Source organism: Homo sapiens, chromosome 18, assembly GCF_000001405.40.
Source record: "Homo sapiens chromosome 18, GRCh38.p14 Primary Assembly".
NCBI classification, from domain to species: domain Eukaryota; kingdom Metazoa; phylum Chordata; class Mammalia; order Primates; family Hominidae; genus Homo; species Homo sapiens.
In genome coordinates, this window is record NC_000018.10 from 59044374 (window position 1) to 59067349 (window position 22976).

General features: G+C 45.8%; 1 pseudogene across 1 annotated transcript in view, besides 3 other annotated features; it reads left to right on the forward strand.

The window, feature by feature from the left end:
- The window catches only part of OACYLP (O-acyltransferase like, pseudogene), a 72699-nt pseudogene that overhangs the window by 47763 nt on the left and 1960 nt on the right, over positions 1-22976 (forward strand). Inside the window, exons 9-13 of the transcript NR_024021.3 lie at positions 7132-7297; positions 8791-8870; positions 12667-12780; positions 15112-15244; positions 18360-18546. The product of NR_024021.3 is annotated as an O-acyltransferase like, pseudogene (transcript). The remainder of the gene's footprint in view (positions 1-7131; positions 7298-8790; positions 8871-12666; positions 12781-15111; positions 15245-18359; positions 18547-22976) is intronic.
- Positions 4462-5432: an enhancer, noted in NCBI's record as "H3K27ac-H3K4me1 hESC enhancer chr18:56716067-56717037 (GRCh37/hg19 assembly coordinates)". NCBI's record gives its function as "activates a minimal SCP1, AML or CMV promoter by ChIP-STARR-seq in naive H9 embryonic stem cells {active_cell/tissue: H9 hESC(naive)}" and the evidence as "EXISTENCE:reporter gene assay evidence [ECO:0000049][PMID:30033119]".
- Positions 5433-6402: an enhancer, noted in NCBI's record as "H3K27ac-H3K4me1 hESC enhancer chr18:56717038-56718007 (GRCh37/hg19 assembly coordinates)". NCBI's record gives its function as "activates a minimal SCP1, AML or CMV promoter by ChIP-STARR-seq in naive H9 embryonic stem cells {active_cell/tissue: H9 hESC(naive)}" and the evidence as "EXISTENCE:reporter gene assay evidence [ECO:0000049][PMID:30033119]".
- Positions 17942-19141: an enhancer, noted in NCBI's record as "BRD4-independent group 4 enhancer chr18:56729547-56730746 (GRCh37/hg19 assembly coordinates)". NCBI's record gives its function as "activates an origin of replication core promoter dependent on BRD2, P300/CBP, MED14 and CDK7 cofactors, and independent of BRD4, by STARR-seq in HCT116 cells {active_cell/tissue: HCT116}" and the evidence as "EXISTENCE:reporter gene assay evidence [ECO:0000049][PMID:35650434]".

The following is a 22976-nucleotide window of genomic DNA, read 5'->3' on the forward strand; positions in this document are numbered from 1 at the left end:
GTGGATCTCACAAAGTACATTCTCAAGGGTGGGGAGAATTACAAAGAAACTTCTTAAGGGTGGGGGAGATTACAAAGTACATTGATCAGTTAGGGTGGGGCAGAAACAAATCACAATGGTGGAACGTCATCAGTTAAGGCTATTTTCACTTCTTTTGTGGATCTTCAGTTGCTTCAGGCCATCTGGATGTATATGTGCAGGTCACAGGGGATATGATGGCTTAGCTTGGGCTCAGAGGCCTGACAGTAGGTTTATTTACTTAATTTCTCAATTCCTCATTGCTATGTAACGATTTATTAGTTTTCTGTCTTTAACCCTCTTTTCAAAGAATTTCCAAAGAAAAATAAACTGAAAGAAATAGTTTTCTTCCCTAAATACAGTTGATTTAAGCTGGTTTAATATGGATCAAATTCTACTGGGACAAATACCATGAAAACTGGTATGTTCCACTGGCAAAAACATCCTTAGTCCTCAGCTGATGGGCAGCAGAGTTCAATAAATGCACTGTCAGATTTCCATGGAATCTGTATTCAACAGGAAAATTTGTTTGTCTGCAAATTAGTAGTAATTGGATCCTATAAATCAGAGTGCTAATGGTAATGATAAAAATAAAACAGTACGTGACCAGGAAAGGAACTTGGTTGAAGCTCTGGGCCATGGCCATTCTGCTGGGAGGGAGGCAGGAAGAATGACGATCTCCTTTTTTTTTTTTTTTTTTTTTTGTTTTTGAGACAGAGTCTCGCACTGTGACCCAGGCTGGAGTGCAGTGACGCCATCTCTGCTCACTTCAACCTCTGCCTGCTGGGTTCAAGCAATTCTCCTGCCTCAGCCTCCTGAGTAGGTGGGATTACAGGCGCCCGCCACCATGACTGGCTAATATTTGATTTGATTTTTTTTTGTATTTTTAGTAGAGACGGGGTTTCACTATGTTGGCCAGGCTGGTCTTGAACTCCTGACCTCGTGATCTGCCTGTCTCGGCCTCCCAAAGTCCTGGGATTGCAGGCGTGAGCCACCGTGCCTAGCTGACGGTCTCCTTTAGGAATGTGTGGTTGGTTGATGCAGAAGGGATTCCAACACTGGGGCAGAATACGGAATCGGTGGTAGCAGAGTGGCAGTGACAGAATGAGACAACCAAAGTTAAGGGAGGAAGGGCTGGGCACAGTGGCTCATGCCTGTAATCTCAGGCGTTTTGGGGAGGCCCTTGGGAGGCTGAGGGGGGCATATCACTTGAGGTGAGGAGTTTGAGACCAGCCTGGCTAACATGGTGAAACCCTTTCTCTACCAAAAATACAAATGATTAGCTGAGCGTGGTGGCACACGACTGTAATCCCAGCTACTCGGGAAGTTGAGGTGGGAGAATCACTTGAACTCCGGAGGTGGAGGTTGCAGTGAGCCAAGATCCTGCCACTGCACTCCAGCGTGGGCAACAGAGTGAGACCCTGTCTCAAAACAAACAAACAAAAAAAACAACAAAGTTAAGGGAGAAAAGGAAACTTCAGCTCATGTCATCCAACCCTGCCATTGATATATTTTCTATGTCGTGGTTATTTGCTGAGCTGGAAGCCAGCACTCCTGACTCCTGGTTCACGTTCATCTTGTTATACCACACTGTCACAAAATAGGAAGAGGAGTGTTGTCATAATCTTTGGGACTAGTGAAATGCAGTGGGCAAGTGCAGACTCTGTAGTTGGACTGCTGAGCGTGTATTCTGGCTCAATCACATAGCAGCGGTGTGACCTTGAGTTAAGTGTCTCTCTCAGTCTTTCTGTGCTTGCATTTGCTCATCTCTAAAATGGGAAGAATAGTGACACATCACAGGACTCTTGTGAGGATTCAATGAGATAATGTATGTAAAGAACTTGGAAGGGTGCTTTATACATAGTAAGCCCTCAATACGTAGGAGCTATCATTATTAGCGTGGTGGTTATTTATACCTTTTAAGCTTTCCATCAAATAGGTGAAGAATGGGGAGAAGCTAAGGAATAGACCTTTGTTGGTTTCTTTTCACCACAGTCTTTGTGGTTTCTTCCAAGCTTTATAAAATCTAACCCTCCTCCAGGGAAGGGCAGAAGGCTTATGATTTCAATATATTTTGGGTGTGTGGCACTGGGGTAAGCAGCCTGTCCTGCCCTGAGGTTTTCTGGAGGTGAGAGGCTGGCATACAGGATGAGGGGTCATGGTGATAAATGCTCAGAGGGGTTAGGTGGGGGTTGGGGCAGGGGATCTAATGGCATGGTGGGTTCTGCTTGGGAAACCAACTTTTTTATTTTATTTTATTTTATTTTATTTATTTATTTAATTTATTTTTTGAGATGGAGTTTCGCTTTTGTTGCCCAGGCTGGACTGCAATGTCACGATCTCGGCTCACTGCAACCTCCGCCTCCCGGGTTCAAGCAATTCTCCTGTCTCAGCCTCCCGAGTAGCTGGGATTACAGGCATGCACGACCATGACCCCCTAATTTTTGTATTTTTAGTAGAGACGGGGTTTCATCATATTGATGAGTCTGGTCTTGGACTCCTGACCTCAGGTGATCCGCCTGCCTCGGCCTCCCGAAGTGCTGGGATTACAGGCATGAGCCACCATCCCTGGCCTATTTATTTATTTTTTGAGATGGAGTCTTGCTCTATCGCCCGGGCTGGAGTGCAGTGGCACGATCTTGGCTCATTGCAACCTCTTCCTCCTGAGTTCAAGTGATTCTCCTGCCTCAGCCTTCTGAGTAGCTGGGATTACAGGTACCCACCACCATGCCTGGCTCATTTTTGTATTTTTAGTAGAGACAGGGTTTTTTGTGTTGGCCAGGCTGGTCTCAAACTCCTGACCTCAGATAATCTGTCCGCTTTGGCCTCCCAAAATGCTAGGAATACAAGTGTGAGCCACTGCATCCAGCCTTGGGAAACCTACTTCAGAGTAAAAGTCTGGAGCTGGGGATTGAGGAGAGAGGGGTTTTTTCAAGGTGGATAGAGCAGTGGTAGGGGCAGGAGGAGCACGGGGTGAGAGTTGGGTGGTAGTGAGACCTTGTAAGACAAGGACCCCAGTGAGTAAATTACTGCAGTGTCTGGGCAGGAGAGCAGGGTTTGCACTGGCAATTGGCAGTGGGAATGGAGAGAGGAGAAATCAAGGACTCAGGAATTTTCTGGCTTGAGCAACATGGCAGGTGGTGCTGGCATTCTTGAGCTGGGGAACTCTGGAAGGGAGGCAGGTCAGAGTGGGAGCCTAGGGAGACAATCAGTCCAACCTGGGAAAAAATTTTTTTGAAAATGGAGGGAACTGTCACAAACCCACAAGTTGAACTCACCCTCACTAAGGTAACCCCAGTGAAAAAACAGTCATGATCCTGGCCATTTTGAGGTTCTCATGTGTGCTGGTATAACTCACTGATGCTACCTGGTTAGCACTTATCACTTGTCTGCTTATCTCCAGGAGGACAGGGGTCAGACCATCTGTTCATTCACTCATTCTGAGGCCCATTTTGTGCTAGGCGCTGTCCTAAGCCCTGAGAACAGAGTTTTAATAAGCCATGCAAATGTGCCTTCCAGCCCTCAGGTTACATTCCAGTGAATACAGGCAGACAATAAATAAATGAATATGCAATTTGAAGTTGCAGCATGCAAATAAATGTATGCTAGGCCAGGGAGGATGGGTGCCACAAAGTGATCATTTGGAGAAGAGGCTGGGTGCAGTGGCTCACGCCTTACAATCCCAGCACTTTGGGAGGCAAAGGTGGGACGATCCCCTGAGCCCAGGAGTTTGAGACCAGCCTGGCCAACATAGTGAGACCTCATTTCTACAAAACATACAAAAAATTAGCCTGGTGTGGTGGCACGTGCCCGTGGTCCCAGCTCCTTGGGAGGCTGAGGTGGGAGGATTGCTTGAGCCCAGGAGGCGGATGCTTCAGTGAGCCGTGATCGCACCACTGCCTTCCAGCCTGGGCGACAGAACGAGACTTTGCCCAAATAAATAAATAAATAAAAGAAGAAAGCAAGCTGGAGGCTTTCTCTGGAAGGGCAGTCAGGGGAGGTGACTTTTGGCCAGAGCCCAGAAGAAAATAAAGGAATGTTCTAAGCAAAGAAAATCCTGTGGGGGAAGAATGGTCCATTCCGGGAGAACCGAATCACAAAGGTCCTGGGGAAGGAGGGGCGTCGCAGTGTGTGAAGAGCCTCAAAGAGCCCAAAGGTGTTGTGTGGAGTGAAGTGAGCCACGTGGACAGTGGGAGGAATGAGGTCAGAGACGGGCGGAGGCTGCCCTAAGGACTCTCCCTGTTGTTCTGAGACATAAACCTCTGAAGGGTCCCAGCAAGGGAGTGGCATGGGCAGATTTACATCTTGCAAGACTCACTCTGGCTGCAGGGCAGAGAATGGCTGTAAGGTCCAGATAGGGGGAGACCATTTGGGAGCTATTGCAAGTTATAAGAAAATCCCCAAACCCAACTTCTAGGGGTAAGTCAGGACAGAGATTATCTAACAGGAAAGGAAGAGAGTAAAGCTCTAGAACTGTAGAACTGCCTGGTTATGTCAACTAGCAGCTACATTTTAAAAATTAGGGTTTTTTTTTTTTTATACCTTGTGATAAAAATGTCTAACTATAACAGAAGCTTATAACTAAAATAAAGGGTCCCCCTTCTAGTCTCACTCCCCCCAGGACACCTGTATTTAACAGTTTCTTAGGAATTCTTGCAGAATCTTTCCATGTATTTATAAGCACTGTTCTTCTCCTGCACGCATAGGATTGCAGTATATACTTCACTGTTTGTACGTGGTGTTTTCATTTATAATACAGAATTGGCCTATTTCTCTATAAGCACACAAGAACCCACATCCCTGATGTTAAAGGTTATCAGTATGGCACAGTGGGGTACCATTATGTATTTAACTTGTCCCCATTAGTGGACATGGAGCTAATGTCCAAATTCTTTGCTGTCTTAGACAATGGGATAATCTCTATATATTTTTGTGCACTTGTATAGACATGTTTGTGGGCTAAATTCCTACAAGTGGAATGGGGGGTTTTGGGCATTTAACATTTAATGTGCATTTTCCAATTTACCTTCCCACCCACCAGGTATGAGAATCCCTGCTTCTCACCCCTCCACCACACTGGCCAGTATCCCACATTTTAATCTTTGAAAACCCACTTTGACTTTTATTCTCTTGGAAACTTGGACAAAAATGTAGCACCTGTATATTTGAGGGTGGTTTAAATATTTCAAACTGTTTTCTTGTTAGATTTTCAAAAAAATCTTAGAAAGCAGAAACCCTCATTTCCCTTTTAGAGGAGAGGAAAGAGGAGACATTACATGATTTTCTCAGTGTGAAAAGTTTAGATGAACTTGCTACTCAAGGCGTGGCCCACCCAACAGCCTGCAGACTCCAAGTCTGCATTTTAACAAGCACCCTGGGGAGGGGGGATTTGGCAGAGGTGAGGGATGCTGCCTGGAGTGGGGGGCAGGGGAATGCTCCCTTCTGCTCTCCTTCTGAAGGGAGCAGCGCTGGCTACTTTCCCCGGGGAGGGGAGGTGACAGATGGTGGGAAGGATGATCAAAAAGGCGGGGCCGGAGGCTTGTAGGGGCAGCTGCGGGGCAGCATGGTCAGATGGCAAACATGGCAGGACCCAGTGCCTAGGACCCAGGGAGGCTGTTGCCTGAGCAAACCCGCAGGCGAGCTGATCTGGGAAGCTGTGTCTTGACAGAGTTGCCTGCCTTTTCTGTATGACATTGATCAACAATTCCACTCCCTCTCCTAGAATGCCTACCGCCCTCCCACCCACCGGACACTCTCTATGTAGGACGTTCTCATTGTGGGGAGAACAGGGGAATCAATGGTCTCCGTCCCCAGGTGCAGACCAGAGGCTTGGTGCTGAGCCCCTCTCTGCTGGGGATGTACCTCTAAGTGGAGACGCTCCAAGTCCTGCCAGTTCCCATCTGTGACCACCACCCCAGCCCCCACCCTCTCACCTAGGTGTCTGGAGGTACTGCTGGGCCATTGTTCTGCCCTAGTTGAGCCAAAACTACCCTGGATTTTTAGCTATATTCTTTTAGAAGAGGGCTCTGACCCCAGCCCATGCAGAATCCATGCCAGTATTATATGCGCCTCCAGGCTGCAATCTCATTTCTAAACTCTAAACCCACACTGTCCAGCAAATAGCCACCAGGTAAGTGGGTAAGTGAGATGTGCTATGTGTGCAAAGCCCACACTGGGCTCTGAAGACTCAGTAAAAGGGAAAAGAATGTCAAATAGCTTATTAACAATGTTTCATATTGGGTACGTATTTGTAATGATAATATTTTGGATATATTGGTCTAAATAAATAACATTAAAATGATTTGTACCTATTTCTTTTTACCTTTTAAATTGTGGCTGCTGGAAAGTGTAAAACTGGGGGCAGCTGTGCTTGCATCCTGTTTCTGTTGAACAGCGCTGGTCTAGACACCTTACTCCTGATTCTTCCCCTTTGTAGCTGCTTCAGATCTTGCTTGGAGGAGGTAGGGCGTGAAGGAAGGGAGAAATGAAGCAAGTGAGGGAGGGAAGGAAGAAAGAGTTTTTCATCGTGTGAGGCCATGTGGAAAGAACATGAACCAGTGTCAGATCTTGGTACTGCTATGTGGTTGGTGACCTTGGGCAAGTCACCCTATCTTCTCTTAGCTATAATTTCTTCATAAAATGGAGGTCATAGCTACCTTGCAGGATTGTTTTGAGGTTTAGAAATCTCTAGCAGGCTCCTCCCACAGTGGTTGGCCTATATGACTTGCTCAATAAATAACAGTATTTTTAGTGGAACATGGTGGCATGCGCCTGCAGTTCTAGCTAATTGGGAGGTTGAGGTGAGAGGATCGCTTGAGCCCAGGAGGTGGAAGTCAGGGCCGTAGTGAGTGAGACCCTGTCTCTTAAAAAAAGAGAAATAAATAGCAGTATTTTTGCAGCAGTAGCACCTGAGCCAGTACATGATAGGTGCTCAGTAAGTGATCTGGAACTCGTGGATGCTTGAACGTTTGAGGTGTGGCTGGGTGGCAGCTGCCCACGGTACAAACAATCTGTTTTAGAGCACCTTATGCCCCACCCGCCACGTGCCCACTGAGATGACTGGAGGGACCCCGGTGGAAAGTCACCTTCTTTCTCTCGGTTCTCTCCTGCCAGGTTGCAGCCTCTTCACCTGTATTCAATGTGCTTGTTGGTTGGACTGTTCTCTCTTGTTCCCTGGGGACCTGTCTGGGAAATGCCCAAATTCCACTGGGATAACTGCCGGCAAGCATGGTGGACGAATCTGCTGTTGCTAAATAACTTTGTGTCGGTCAAGAATGCGGTGAGTCTCAAGTTGCTGGCTTTGAAAAGGCAGAAGGGTGCAAACCTGGAGTCTCATTTCTTCAAGCAGTGTGGTGAACTTTCCAAGGGCCAACCTGATTCTGGTATTTTCTCTGGAGTACTGGTGATGCTGTAGGAAGGTGGGCTGTGTGAGTGGGGGATGGCTTCTTGCCATGCAGTTGGTGTAACCGTACCAGGCTATGCAGAGGGCAGCCGCTGTGAACAGCAGAGGGAGGGGAGCATAGCATTGGCCAACAAGGGGCCAGTCATCCTGGCACATGTCCCGGAGGCAGCTGACCCTGCCCCATCACTGTTCTTGTGCCAGCCCATGTTGCCCAACCGGGAAAGGACAAATTATTCACCTCCGCCTGTTGAGTCTCTACTGCAATGGGACATCGCATCACACCCTTACTATGTGGAATTCTACTCAAGTTCAAAGATCTTGTTGCTTTGGAGCAACAAGATCTATGTGCGTCTTGGCTTCTCCAAAGCCCCAGTTTCCTCGTAATGCATTTGAAGCAAGTGAAAGTGAAATAGCTGTAATGAAATTATATCACCAATTCCACATATGCCTTGAAATCAAGGCTGAAAAGGGAATCGCTAAAGCGTGGCAGGGCCCTAATCTTTGCACGTAACAACTGACTAACTAGATGGCTGCCTTCCATTTGCAAAGGCCCAGCCATATGGACAGGCTTGCATCACCAGCTACCTGCCTGCAGGTAGGGCCCGCTTGTCTGTGATGGGGTACCCAGGGGATAATCTGGGCTGTTTTCCCTGATGCAAACTGATTTGGGCCACTTGCAGGAAGCAGTGGCAAGGATACCAGCCAGTGGCCTTTTTGAGGTAGAGCCCACCTTAGATCCTTGAAAGCAGAGGTGCCAGGGCCCTTTGGAGAGAATTGCCCCCAGGCGCTTCCTCACATTGACGAAAAAAATACTGGTAACCATCTCATCTGGCACAAGCATGGACTGTCTGTGGAACTCATTTTGACCATGTCAATCATCCATGGGAACTCTGGGGTTCTCCACAAAACATCATCTGGAGCCAAGCCCTGGTTCTAAATGAACATGTTCTTTCCACCTAGAGTTGGGGCATGGGGAGAGGCAAAGAAAAGAGAAAAACGTTGACCCCTCTGACTTCCAACCGCACCATAATGATGAGAAACTCTTACATTCCCGTAACATGACAGAGTTCATTTCCCACAACTGTCCTAGGAGATGGGCTATGATCATTTTGCTTTTTTAAACAAAAGAGAAAATTTGTCTGAATCTCCATTTTGTAAAATGGCAGCAATAATACCCACCATCCAGGCTTGGTACAAGGCTCAAGATGAGGGATGTGAAATATGAATATCTCTAACTCAATTTCCTTTGTCTTCCCATGGAAATTCGCCCCACCCACCTACTAAATTCTTCCTCCTAGTCCAGGCAGGTGGAGAGTGTGGAGCAGAACTGGTAAATGAAGGAAGAGTGACCTTTGCTGCTCTCTTTTCAGTGCAATGGCTGGACCTGGTACCTTGCCAATGACTTCCAGTTCCACCTCACCACACCAGTGATTATCTTCATCCATGTAAAGTGAGTCTGATTGGGACAAGCTTTTCTCCTCATGTGCCCTCTTTCACAAAACCCTCAGAAAGTATCCCAGTTCCGTGCAGAGCTGCTTTTTAAAATCTAGGAAACTTTACAGAAAAGTAAATACCAAATCCTCTACGGTCTGCCTTCTTCTGCATTCTTTTCCAACATTGATCCTACGCCAGTCAGTGTGTGTTTTGCAGAGTTACAATCAGTGTGTGCATGTAATATCTAGTGCTCAGCTTTTTCCATTTAACTGTTCTTATAAACATTGCCACATATTGACATAACCTGCATACTTGGCAGTTTTAGGGTTTATCTACCATTTTTATGGTTGGGTATCTAGATTGTGGCCAATTTTTCATGATTATAAATGTCACTGCAATGCATGCCTTTGAACACACTACTTTTTCTCTTAGTTATTTTCACAGGGGCAGATTTCCAACTGGAATTGCTAGGTCAAAGGGTAGGAACAATTCTGTGGCACTTGTCACATATTGTGAGATTGCTCTCCAGAAAGAGTGAAGTAATTTACAACGCCCTCAGCCATGTATCGGTGCACCAGCTTTCCCACATTGGATATTTATCACCTTAATTTTTGTTAGTTTTAGAAACACCTTAAGGCCTCAATAATTCATGGAGAGACTTGTAGTTGTGGATTATTCATGCCATATTTTAAAAATTTATTGTTCTTTGTGTTAAAATATATGTTCAATTTAAGAAACATTGGAAAACATTAGGAGTTAAGAGAGGGGGGAATAATCACCCCAGTTCCACTTTGTCAGTCAAGGGAAGGAGAATTTGCTGCTAATATTTTGGGGCTTATCCTTCTGATATTTTTTCTGCCCAGTTTTTTTTTTTTTTTTTTTTTTTTAAAGAGATGAGGGTCTCACTCTGTCACCCAGGCTGCTATAGTGCGGTGGTGCCATCATAGCTCACTGCAGCCTCCAACTCCTGGGCTCAAACGATTCTCCTGCCTCAACCTCTCGAGTAACAGGCATGGACCACTGCACCTTGCTAATTTTTTACCTTCTGTAAAGAGATGAGGTCTTGCCGTGTTGCCCAGGCTGTGCCCTGCTTTTGATACATGAAAGCATTCTGTATATACACCTTGGTATCTTTCTTTCAATAGTTTTATGACACATGCATTTCCCTATATTATTTTATTTTTAAAGCAACATAATTTAAATGTCTGCATAACATTCCATTCCATGAACTAACTATATAATTTATGTATACCTTCTATTGTTTAATACTGGGATTATTTCCAATGTTATGCATTCATAAATAATGGCTTGATAAATATTTTCATGGAAACCATTTGTCTCCAACTTTGATACTTCTCTACAACATATATCTTTGAGGGGAATTAATAGGTCAAAGGGCATGAATGTCTTTTACGCTCTTGAATCATAATGATAAATCACTTTCCGTAGAGGGAACATCAATATTCAGTCCTCTAGTCATCCAATTTAACTGTTGCCAGAATGGAATATTAATAATAAAACAAAACATCTGAGTCTTCACATGTTCTTCCTTCTGTGTCCAAGTTTCCTCTTCTTATAAGGACACAGTCATATTGGATTAAGGCCCACCCCAATGACCTCGTTTAATGTTAATTATTGCTTTAAAGACTCTATCTTCAAATACAGTCACACTCTGAATTACTGGGGGTTAGGATTTCAACATAGGACTTTGTTGGGGACATAATTCAGCCCATAACATTCAATGTCAGGAAGATTTATGAGTTTAGTTGAAATGGTGCTAGCTGGAAGAGACTTGTGGAGTCTGTGGTGGAGATACTGATCTTGGAAGTAGGTGCCAGGGACTGGGCTCAAGTCCCCCAGGGAGTTAAACACATATTTACTCGGGTGGCTGTGGGTTTTTATTGGATGGCCTGACTACCACTTACCTAGGACACTGAGTTCTTATGCCTCCGCACTCTAGACTTGCCTGGGAACCCATGTGAGTGTCCTTGTGACTGAGGAGCACTGGCCCCGTGTCAGCATCTTTCCCAAAGGCTGTCGTGGAAGGTGGATTTCAGTCCTTCAGCTGAAAACCCACACTGTCCAAACTTGTGACTATGCAACAAGATTTAGCTTATAAGTGGAGGGAAATATAAAAGTAGGGCTTTTCTTCCTTTAGAGAATATAATTCCATGGAATGCCAGTGGAATCAGGTCTTTCTGGAGCTCAGTAATTCAAGGAGAGAAGAGCTAAGGGGTCTGGCAGAAGTCATAGTAAATATACATACAGCATTATTACCATAACCCCCTGCTTACCCTCATAGCAGACATTAGTAATCAATCATAGCATCATGGAGCTAGAATTCATCCTTCTTTCCAAATATTACACTAACATTGGTACTCTGGCTGAAAATAATTTTCTCCCTGTATCACTTGATAACTGAATAGTATCTATCTCATCCCTTCCTCATGAACAGCCATGGCAACTTTCACTAGCAGAATTGCATTGTCAAAGGCATTTTCCAGGTCAGGCTGTGCCTGGATGGTCTCGCACTTGTGTTTGACATTTCTTCCACACCACTGTGGATCCTCTTAATCCCAACCCTCACACTTCGGAGCAGGTACAACCAGACAGCGCCTCACTCTGGGTGCTTCAGGAAACATCCTAGTCTTATACATGCACGGTCCCAAAGTGTGGAGGAATTAATTTGTGTGGGACCATCCTTAACCCATTTGAGATAGAAGACAGTGGGAAAATCCTTCTGTCTTTCATCTCACAGGACAGTTTTAAGGTACATTTCATATGGCCCTGTGGAACATTCTGGAAGAACTGAGCATTGGCCACCTTGATAGCACATCCTGGTATTGGTTTTCCCTGCTTCCCTGTTCTCCTACCCTATCCCTCATTCCTACACCCACGTGAACTACCTGCACCCGGACATTTGTCTCAGGCTCTGCTCCTCAGTTGAAGGCGTGCCTGGTTCCCCCTCTGCATTAGTCCGTTTTCACATGCTATAAAGAACTACCTGAGACTGGGTAATTTATAAAGAAAAGAGGTTTAATTGACTCATGGTTCTGCAGGCTGTGCAGGCTTCTGCTTCTGGGAAGGCCTCAGGAAACTTACAATCAGGGCAGATGGGGAACCAGGCACATCTTAATATGGTGGGAGCAGGAGGAAGAGAGCAAAGCGGGGAGGTGCTACACACTTTTAAACAGCCAGATCTCATGAGAATTCACTCACTATCACAAGAACAGCAAGGGGGAAATCCATCCCCACGATCCAGTCACCTCCTATCAGGCCCCACTTCAACACTGGGGATTACAATTCCACATGAGATATGGGCAGGGACAAAGATCCAAACCATACCATCCTCCTTCTCGATCCTCTCTCCCCTGTGCTTGGAGTGGGTCCACCCCGTGTCCCACCCTGCCTTTGACAGTCCTCTCTCCCAAATCAACCACCACTTGTATCCATATCGGGTTTCATAGATGACAAGGGACGTTCCCAGGCATGGACTCCTTTTGAGCTGCATAGTAAGCCTCAGGGTGGGCAGGCGAGGATGCGATTACTGTTCCTGTCTAGACCAGGAAACTCAAGCTCAAGGCCCTGCCCGGTGTGGCACAACTAATGGATGGTCAAGACCGAGGCTGCCTCAGGTCCTCCAGCCCCAGCCCCGCTCTCCCTGCCACTCATCAGCCTCTCAAAAGCAGGGCCTCTCAAAAGCAGGAAGTACCTCTGATGGTCAGGATTTCCAGCCTTTCGTGCCATAGGAAGCGCATGTGTGGGGCAAGAAACTGAAGGGCACTCCTCTCCGTATCCTCTCTTCTTTGCAGGAGTACACAGATCCTCATCCTCCTTGGGGCCATGCTGTTCTTGGCATCTTTCACAGCCACTGCTCTGATCACCTTGGCATATAAACTTCCTGTCGTGGCTCCATCAGAAACCAGGTAATGCGGTTCCCCAGCCTGCCCCTTTCTGGCCAGGACTTCCCGGGGAGGGCTGCTGAATGCCAGGCTGTTCACCCTGTGCCCTTTGGTTCATGGAAAAAGTGGGTATGAAACTTTTGGTCTGGATGGGAAAGCTGATTGCCTTCTTGCTTCCAAACTTCTGAACCTTTCAACCTGCACTGGTAGGTCCTCTCTGAACTCAACGTTGCCCATTGAAACGCTTCCCAGAGGAAGGAGCGCCCCCATGTGGCTGTACTGTGTTTCTCCTCCAGCAGCCAATTGCTGCTTGGTGGCTCTGTTGGATGGAGAGACTGAACCTACCTCTTCAAGGTCACACAACTAGTAGGTGGCACAGGTGTGATTTGAACTTAGAAGCCAATCCACAGTGCTATTTCCCCTCCCCAATGAGGCATGTATGACACTTACACAGGAAAAACTGTTATGATTACCTGCTAATCTTCTCTCAATGCAGTGACACAAATGAAAATCAGATTATGTCAGTCATCTGCTTGAATTCCTCCAGTGGCCTCATTGGTCACCCTCCTACCTGCTGACACTGGACCAGCCACACCAACTCATCTCAACGCACCAAGCACGCTCCCCGAACCCCCTTCCCCACCCTCCCCAACCCGGGGCCTTAGCACTTGCTTTTGAGCCTGAATTACTCTTCTGTTAAAATCTAAGATCTTGGCAGGGCTTTCTCCTTCACATCTTTCAGGTGTCTGTGCAAATGTCACCTTCTCAGAGCAGCCTTTGCCGATCTTCCAAAATAAAATGGCCAGAACCGTTCCTGGTATGTGAGTGTTCCATGTGAATCTGTGAGTGGGTGGCATATGAGAATAAATGAATGAATTGGTGACAACATCCCAAGCCTCCTGACCAGGAGACTATCATGCCCTTCCCATATCATGGCATGGTGAAGTGATTGAGGAGGAGGCTCACTCATGTCCAGCCCAGCGGTTTTCAACCCTGGCCACATATTAGAGTCACTTGGGAGCTTCTAAATCTACTGATGCTTTCATCCCCACCCACCTCCGAACAATTGAATCAGAATCTCTGGGCATGGGGCCCAGGCAGCGGACTTTTGTAAGCATTCCCAGGGTGCTTACAAATTCTAATTTGCAGAATAAATTCTTATGTGCAGCCACAGTTGAAGAACCATACGTCTAGTCCTCAAACACCTTCCCTTCCTCCAGTGGTCCCTGCATGGGCAGCTAGGGGCTGAGAGTGCGTCTAGCTTCAGTGGGGAATGGTGATAATTTTAACGGTGATAAATTTAAAGCAGGGGTTCTCAATCTGCCTTTGGGAAACTCAGGAGAGTTTTAAAATTTCTAGTCCCTGAGTCCATGTGCAGAGATGATGATTCCCTGGGCTTGGGTATAACCTGGATGCCTCCCGTGAATGGCACTGTTTAGGCAAAGCTTCTCAGCCTTGAGGGGGTATCAGGGTCACCTGGAGGGCTTCTTAACACACAGATGGTTGAGCCCACTGCCAGTAGGTCAGGGTGGGGCCCATGAGTCTGGGTTCCTAATAAGTTCTCAGGTGATGCAGGTGTTTTTTTTTTTTGTCTGTGTTTTTTATTCTATTGCAACAGAGTCTCACTCTGTCATCCAGGCTGGAGCACAGTGGCATGATCACCGCTCACTGCAGCCTCAACCTCCTGAGCTCAAGCGAACCTCCTGCTTCAGCCTCCTGAGAAGCTGGGACTGTAGGCATGTGCCTCCAGGCCTGGCTAATTTTTTTTTTTTTGTAGAGTTGGGGTCTCTCTATGTTGCCCAGATTGGTCTCAAACTCCTGGGCTCAATGATCCTCTTGCCTCGGCTTCCCAAAGTGCTGGGATTACATGTGTGAGCCACCATGCCTGGCCTGACGCAGCTGTTGATGTCAAGGGATGAAACCTTGAAAAACACAGCTTCAAAGAATAGTTTTTGGTGTCCTTTTAATAGCCTGGCCTGGACCTCTCATCACTTCTCTCTCAGGACAGTCTCTGTCCTTGGGACCCTTGGGTTCACATCTGGGTGCTACATTTTTAGAACATTCTGACATATTGGCCACCAGACACAGCTATTTAAAATGAATACACTCATGATATTTCCTTGGGATCTGGGGTGGAGGGGCCTGAGGGAATTTGGAACCTAAACAAGCCAACTTTGGCTGAGGTGGGGCCATGAGGTCACTGTTTGCGCACCATGACTAAGGAAATGAACAAGTGTGCCCTAAATGTACCTTTGGGCTTGCTGATTATTCCAATGGACATCTCAGGGATTTGGATTCCCTTTGCCATGTCCAGATCAAACATAACATTTTGGCTTATTTCCTTGTATTTTTCAGTGAAGAGGCGATTGTATTGTATTTCGTGGAGTACTACACAAAGCCCTACTGCCGATTTGGGCCAGTTCTTGTGGGCCTCTTTCTGAGCATTTACATGCACCAAAACCACCAGGAAAACATTCTCAGAACCAAGGTATGATTTCCCGTGCCTCACTCTATGGGCATGGGTCTGGCTGGGACTGTGTGGCCCACCTGGCCAGGCTCTTCCAAAGCTGTGGATGAAGCAGTCAGCCTGCTGGGTACTGTATTGTGCTGTAGAGTGTTACTGATGTCTCTCTGTGCTAAAGAATCAGAAGGAATTGGCCAGGTGCAGTGGTTAACACCTGTAATCGCAGCACTTTGGGAGGCTGAGGCAGGAGGATCCCTTGAGTCCAGTTCAGGACCAGCTCAGGCAACATGGTGAAACCCCTGTCTTCATTTTTTTTTTTTAATTTAAAGATAAGGCCTTTATCTTCCTGCCAGAGCTTGATTCTCTGCTTTCTTCACTGACCTCTCCTTATGATCCTCCAGATTTGGAACCCAGTGTGGTCCCATCTGTAGGAGCTTTGGTACTGACCCAAAGAAACCACCAATGTGAGAAAACATACCCAGTGAGATTACAATGGCAAGACTTTCTTCTGGAAGAGGATACTGAGTTGGGTTGGATTTTTAACAGCACATGCTCAGTGGTTTCTATATACAAGATTCTTGGTCAGATTTGATGGTTGTGTCTGGGAATCAGGACGTGAGGTGTCTAGAGGGGAAGCTGTTACTTTGCTTTTCCAGATGTACCCCAAGCACTCATTTTCTTCTCTGGCTCCTTTGTGGGCAATCATTCTAGTTCACCATCCAATCTCGTTACTCAAGCTGGAAACCCGGGTTCATCTTGGATGCCTCCTCCTCACTGACCACTGCTCTCAGCCAATCATCCCCCATGCTCTGCCGATGGTTTCTCCTGCCATCCTCTCTCATCCTTTTGAACTGACCTTAAAGCTCTTCTCATCTCATGCCTGGATGTTGTCACTTGTTTCCTTGCCTCTAGTCTTATTGATCTCAAATCTACTCTTGGGGTGATCTATTTAAGACACCACCTTGGCTGTGCCCTTGAACGGTGAAAAATCTTTCAATGACTTCCTTTTACATCCATGATAAGGCTTGATCTGTTCAACAAGGCCTTCAGAGTTCCCATGACATCACTCTGCCTGTCTCTCTAGCATCATCTCTCTCACCACTCTCTGCCTTGCACTTTGCATATCAGTGATACCAACCTGCTCACAGTGCCCTTGACTGCCGCCACTGACACACACACAAGCTGTTCCTGGCATCTGTGCAGTTGCTCATGCTTCTTCCTCCGTCTGGAATCTGCCTCTACCCCCTCCCCTCTACTCACCTCTCCCTTTCATCTGACTTAACTCCTGTTTTGCCTAGAAGGCTCACCTAGACTTTTCACCTCCAGGAAGTCTTTCCTTATCCTTCCAGGCCAGGCTGTGTCCTTCTTTTTGGTTCCTCTGTGCACTGTATATTCCTGGGCCCTGGTTTGTACCGCATGATAAAGCATTTATTCACCCCATAGACTGTGAGCTCCTGGAATTCACTACTTGTATCACCTCTGAATCGCCAGCATCTGGTTCTGAGATCCTGACTCACTGAAGGTACTCAACACATGAATGAATGAAAGAGAATTTTCTTCTCAATGGAGGAAGGGCCAGAAGTTAGGATACAACTCCTGCCCCAAACCCCTCTGCCAGGTCCTACCTTTGTTTGCCTAGGCTTTGTGGGTACCTTACCTAGATGTTCCAGAGAAGAGGCCCTGGTCCTTGGAAAACCTTGTGTTGCCCATGGGAGGAAGAAGAGATAAGATTTTACCGAAAGGAATGAATATACAGAAGCTGTGTGACTTTTTCTATAGGTTGCAGTTACGATATTTTCCTGGAAATGCACAATTCAGTTGTAGACTATAACAGAGTGCCATTAAAGAGAGGCTTCAACATAGTCCAGGTTACATGGGAGCCCAGGGAGAAAATGTGTGTCAGCAAAGGGCAAAACTTAACTTGAAGAGGGAGCATTTGGGAATGACTTCAAGGGCCAGGGTCAGCACCAGGAAGCCCGGAGCTGAAATACAAGCCAAGTTAACCTGGAGAAACGCGCACAGTTGGGTACACCAAACTCAAAGCTTTAGAAGCTAGAAAATAAAGACACGGGGTCTAAACTGGAGGAAGCTGCCAGGAGTGAGATAAGGCAGGATGCACCATAATAAAGATAAGCAGACAAGGACAGAAAGAGAACATGATACCCAAGATGCATTTTGAGAGACTGCAGGCCCATTTGGGCCAGGGAAGTAGCAAAGGGGTGAGGGAGATCCCAGGCTAAAAGAGTGGAGTGCCACTGAGTATGTACCTTTCCTCTCCCGCAGCCAGGAACCTGAGACCTAAGCAGGTCTCAGAGACAAGACGGTGGACTGATCCGATGTTGGTTCAGTGCAGTGTAGACATAATCACAGCAGCTTGAGTACAGCACGGAGAAGCAAGAGAGCTCCTTGGAAGACAGATCTGGGTCTAAAAAGGTCAACTCAGGTGACGCAAGGTCAAGATCTTGAAGTGAGTCAGGTGTTAGGATTTAACTCATGGGGCTATTCTTTGAGCTGAAGACTTCTCACATTCCCATTCCTTCCACTTGACTAGGCTGCTGCCCAGGCCGGGGCTGTGTGCTGGAGGCCCTCACGTTTATGGTGAAGGCGGAAGCCATCAAGGAGCATTAATCTGGTTACCGGACAAAATGGGAGATTAGGAGTGGGTTAGAACATTACTTATTGATTTTCTTTTCACTTTCATTTTGAAATGATTATAGATGCCCCAAAAGTTGCAAAATTAGTACAGAGAGGTGCTGTGTGCTCCAGCTCCCCAACAGGCAACGTGTGACACAACTATGGTACCTGACCACAGCCAGAAAATCACATTGGCACAATAGACCTCAGATCTACCAACACATACTCATTCGCGCACGTCTGTACGGTTCTGGGTAATTTTGTCCCATGTGCAAATTTGTGCAACCACCCCCACAGTCAAGGTACAGAACTCTCTGTCACCACAAAGATCTCCTGGCCACCCCTTTTAAATTACAACCTTCCATTTTAGTCAAATCTATGCTGACTGAGGTTTGCGAATAAAGACCTAAGTGACAGGAATAACACCAAAAAATAAGTTTGTGTAGGAGGAGGGAATTATACAATGGCTAAAAAGGGCTGGGCCCCGCCTCTCCTCTCCCCGGAGATGCAGGTCCTGCTGGGGTGGAGCTGCTCCCTGGTCACCCTATTTGCGGTGGCCGCTCTGGCATACATGGTGGATGACTCCTCTGCTTCCTCTCTAGTAGCTGCAGCTCTCTACCAAGCCCTCCACCGGACCCTGTGGGCGGCGGCTGTGGGCTGAGTCCTCTTTGCGTGCCACGGAGGATATGGAGGTATGGAAGCGGCTCCAGGCTTTGCTGTCGGGTTCACACCCTGTTCCTTTAAAGGTGACAAATCGAACACACAGGGTGTGTACCGGAGTGATTTCTGTTTTCTGGAGTGGTTGATGAATGACTGATATTGATTCAAAAATATCAATTTCTCTCCATCCTTGGAAAAGACAAAGGATTTATGTATAAGATTTTTACATGGATTTATGCACAAGTGTGGGTTCTGAAAGAAGAACATGCAGCCTCTCCAATGCAGCTAGTTTAGAAGTTGGAAAGGGAATTCAGGCAGAGTAATGTCATGAGAAAAAAAAAAATCAGTGCTTGGGAGCACTGCCTTCCAGCCACAGCACCTTGAGCCTTGGTTTCCCCATCCGAAGGTGTAGATGGGGAATGCTTGCCAGGATCCCCTTTGATAACTGAGTTGGCTTTCAACATGCAGAGAGCCAAGCAGATAAAAGGCTTCAATGGAAAAGAATCTTCTCCAGGTTAGAAGGGTGTATCCAAGTCACCTGATGCTTTTCTCCCCGTGATCTCTATTTGGCGAGAGGTAGGAACTGTGTGCTTGGGACGTCAGCAAACAACAGGGCAAGGCTGGCAGGAAGCTCCCAGAAGAGATTCTGGCCTCAAGCGACCCAAAGCCCTGACAGAGGAGCAGTGGATCTGGGGGGAGGCATGCCTGCTTCATACTCTAGGGAAATAACCCATCAGGAGGAGTTTCAACTTAGCCTGTAAACCCACACCAGTCAGCCTCAGCAAAGGTGGTGGGAAATAATGATTTACCGGTAGCACTGACCACGCCCCTGGGAGGAAGACCTATAATTAGCAATGAGAACAACCATGTCAGGAGAGAAAGCAACACAGTGAAAATCCCACAGCTGGTGAGTGGCTGAAGTAGAAAATGAACCCAGGTCCCAGCACGAAGTCCAAAGCCAGTGCTCTTCACTCCTAAGTGATAGCACTTTTCCCAGATGTTAATTAAAATGGTTCCTAAATTTTACAAGTATTTTAATATAACGATGCTCTTTAATATTGTAATTTTAAAATGAGCCTTAATGATCTTTCATATTTTAATTTTAAAAGCTTTCCCTTATATGGAAAAGTGATACTAAAGAGGAAATGGACTGCGTTCTCTCTGACTGATGTATTTGCATTTATGGGAAACTCTGGGATATGTTACCACAACCCTGCTGCCTCACCCCATGACCATGTCCCCGAGCTGTCATAGAGCCTCATAAACAACTACTCTCCGTGGCCTGGCACAGGCCATTTATAATGTTGCAAACATCACAGTATTCCTCTCTACTGTGAGAGCTGCTGCTGTTTATCAAAAATAACTGGCTAACAAATGATATTAGAGAGGAATGACTTAGGTGAAGTTACAAGATTAAACAAATTTGCATTATTATTATTATTATTATTTTGAGACAGACTCTTGCTCTTGTCACCCAGGCTGGAGTGTAATGGCACGATCTCGGCTCACAGCAACCTCTGCCTCCCAGGTTCAAGCGATTCTCCTGCCTCAGCCTCTTGAGTAGCTGGGATTACAGGCGCCTGCCACCACGCCCGGCTAATTTTTTAATTTTTAGTAGAGATGGGGTTTTGCCATGTTGGCCAGGCTGGTCTCAAACTACTGACCTCGTGATCCACCCGCCTCGGCCTCCCAAAGTGCTGGGATTAGAGGCGTGAGACACCATGCCCAGCCTGCAGCATTATTATTACAGTGGAACAAGCAAATGCTCTCCATCATTAGTCTGAGTAAGGATGCTATCTCATCACCCAGGAGATGAGCAAGCCAGTTTACTTATTATTGAGCAATTTATCATTCAAAGGTGTGTTGTCACTAGCAAATCCACAACTGTAGGGGCACCTGATGTCCTAGATTTGTATCTCCAAAACTATCTGTAAGATATCAATATTGATTAGTAGGTGAATGTAGGAGGTGATAGCTTAAATACATTTTTGGAAAATATGTGTCTACCTGGCTCACACCTGTAATCTCAGCACTTCGAGAGGCCGAGGCAGGTGGATCGCTTGAGCCCAGGATTTCAAGACCAGCCTGGGCAACAAGGCAAAACCCTGTCTCTACTAAAAATACAAAAATTAGCTGGGCATGCTGGTGCGCATTTGTAATCTCAGCTTCTTGGGATGCTGAGGCAGGAGAATTGCTTGAACCTGGGAAGCGGAGGTTGCAGTGAGCCGAGATCAGGCCACTGTACTCTAGCCTGGGCAATAGAGTGACACCCTGTCTCGAAAAATAAAAAAGTGTCTAGCTGATGATCTTTAGAAAAAAATAAGAGTTTGAATAAGAAGAAATGTTTAGTTGAGACTTTCAGGACTAGAAAGGATCTTGATGATTCAATGAATATTTAACCATCTTTGCTTGGTAGCAATGTTGACCATGCTGGTCTTGTTATGCTCAAAGTTGTCTTCTGTTGAGCTGCCAGAGTCATCTGACCACATTACTCCTTCAGTTAAAGCCCTTCAGTGGTGGTCTGTCACCTACAGCTTTCGTCCTCAAACTTAAGTATATGTGGGCCTATTCTAAAGAAATAAGAATTATTTTGGATTCTTGGTGTTGGCTCAACTTATTTTTATTCTTATTTTTTCAATGCTTTTTTTTTCCTGGGAACATAGATTCAAGTTACCCTGACTATCTGCTCTTATTTTTGGTCCAATTTTGCCTAAACATGAACAAACATAAACCTAGATACAAAATTTTATGTTTATAGCACATGCATTCAGAAAGCCAAAACAAATTTATGAAGTAATCATAAAACTATAAAACCAATAAAATCTGCATTAGCAACATTAATATGATATGATGAACAGTTGCTGGAATCACCTGTGGCTCATAATATGAACACAGTATTGTTTGCTTTAGGGCGCGTTCTTTTGTGTTTGGCTTATCTGCGTGAGCATGGATTCTTTGCTGACTTCATTCTTCTACAATTACTTTGTTTTGTTCTACAGTGAAACTGTGGTTTACCTTTTATAGCCTTCACTTGGGGGAAAAGCGTCTTTTGTCTGTAAGTCCATCTGTGTTTATTCACTTAATTACATAAAATACTTCTTGAATGCTTATTCTATGCCAGGTACTGTTCTAGAATCTGGGGATACAGCAATAGACAAGAAAAATCCTTCCCTTGCGAGAGATTACAGTAGGGTCGGGGGAAGTTTAAATATAGTGAATAAAGATAAAGCAGGGATTAGTGGGTAACTAACTGGACTAGGGGTACATTTGCAAAGATGTGGTATGAAAGCATTCTGGGCAGATGGAATGTGAAGGCAGAGGTCTCTAGACTGGAACGAGCTTAGTGGCTTGGAGGAAGAGCAAAATGACCAGTGAGATAGGAACCAAGGGTCAAGGGGGAGAGAGAGGTGGGAAGGGAACTCAGAGAGGAGGGTAGGACCCAGGTTAGGCAGAGCTTTCAAGGCCATGGGAAGAGTTTGGATTTTATTTTAAATGCCACATCACATGAAGTCTTAGTCCATTTCAGCTACTATAACAAAAATAAAGCCCCATAAATGAGGTGGCTTAAAAACAACAGAAATTTATATCTCACAGTTCTGGAGCTGGGAGGTCTAAGATCAAGGCACCAGCAGATTTAGTGTTTGGTGAAGGCCTGCTTTCTGGTTCTTAGCTGGAACTTTCTAGATGTGTCCTCACATGGCGGAAGGGTAGGGCTGTCTCTCTGGGGTCGCTTTTATAAGAGCACTGATACCATTCCTGAAGGCCCAGCCCTCGTGAACTAATTGCCTCTCCAAAGACTCCACCTCTTGATACTAACACCTTGGGGATTAGGATCTCAACATATGAATTTTGGGGGAATGTAAACACTCAGATCATAGCCCATGATTTGATTTGTGGATTTGTAAAATTTATTTTCAAATGGACAAATAATAACTGTATTTATGGGGTACAATGTGATGTTTTGGTATATGTATACCTAGTAGAAAGATGAAATCAAGTTAATTAACATAGGCATCACTTCACCAAGTTATCTCTTTTTTGTGGTAAGAATGTTAAGAATCTTTTCTTTTAGCCATTGAAAAATATCCAGTACATTATTATTAACTGTGGTCACTATGCAGTGCAATAGATCACTAAAACTTACTCCATCGGTTTAACTGAAACTTTGTACGCTTTGATCAATATCTCCCCCTTCCCCATTTCTCCCTGATATGTGATTTTAAAAGATTACTCTGGATGTGGTGTGGGGACTATAAGGTGGCAAGAACAAGAGCAGAGACCAACAGATCCACTGGGAAGCTACCATGGAGGCCCACGCAGGAGGTGATGGAAGATTCACGAGGGTGTTAGCCATGGAGGTGAGGAGCAATGGTCTGATTTGAGACATATTTTTGGAAGCACTCTATGGAGTCTGGAATGAAAGGAGTCTGGGAAGGCTCCAAAGATTTATCCTGAGCAAATT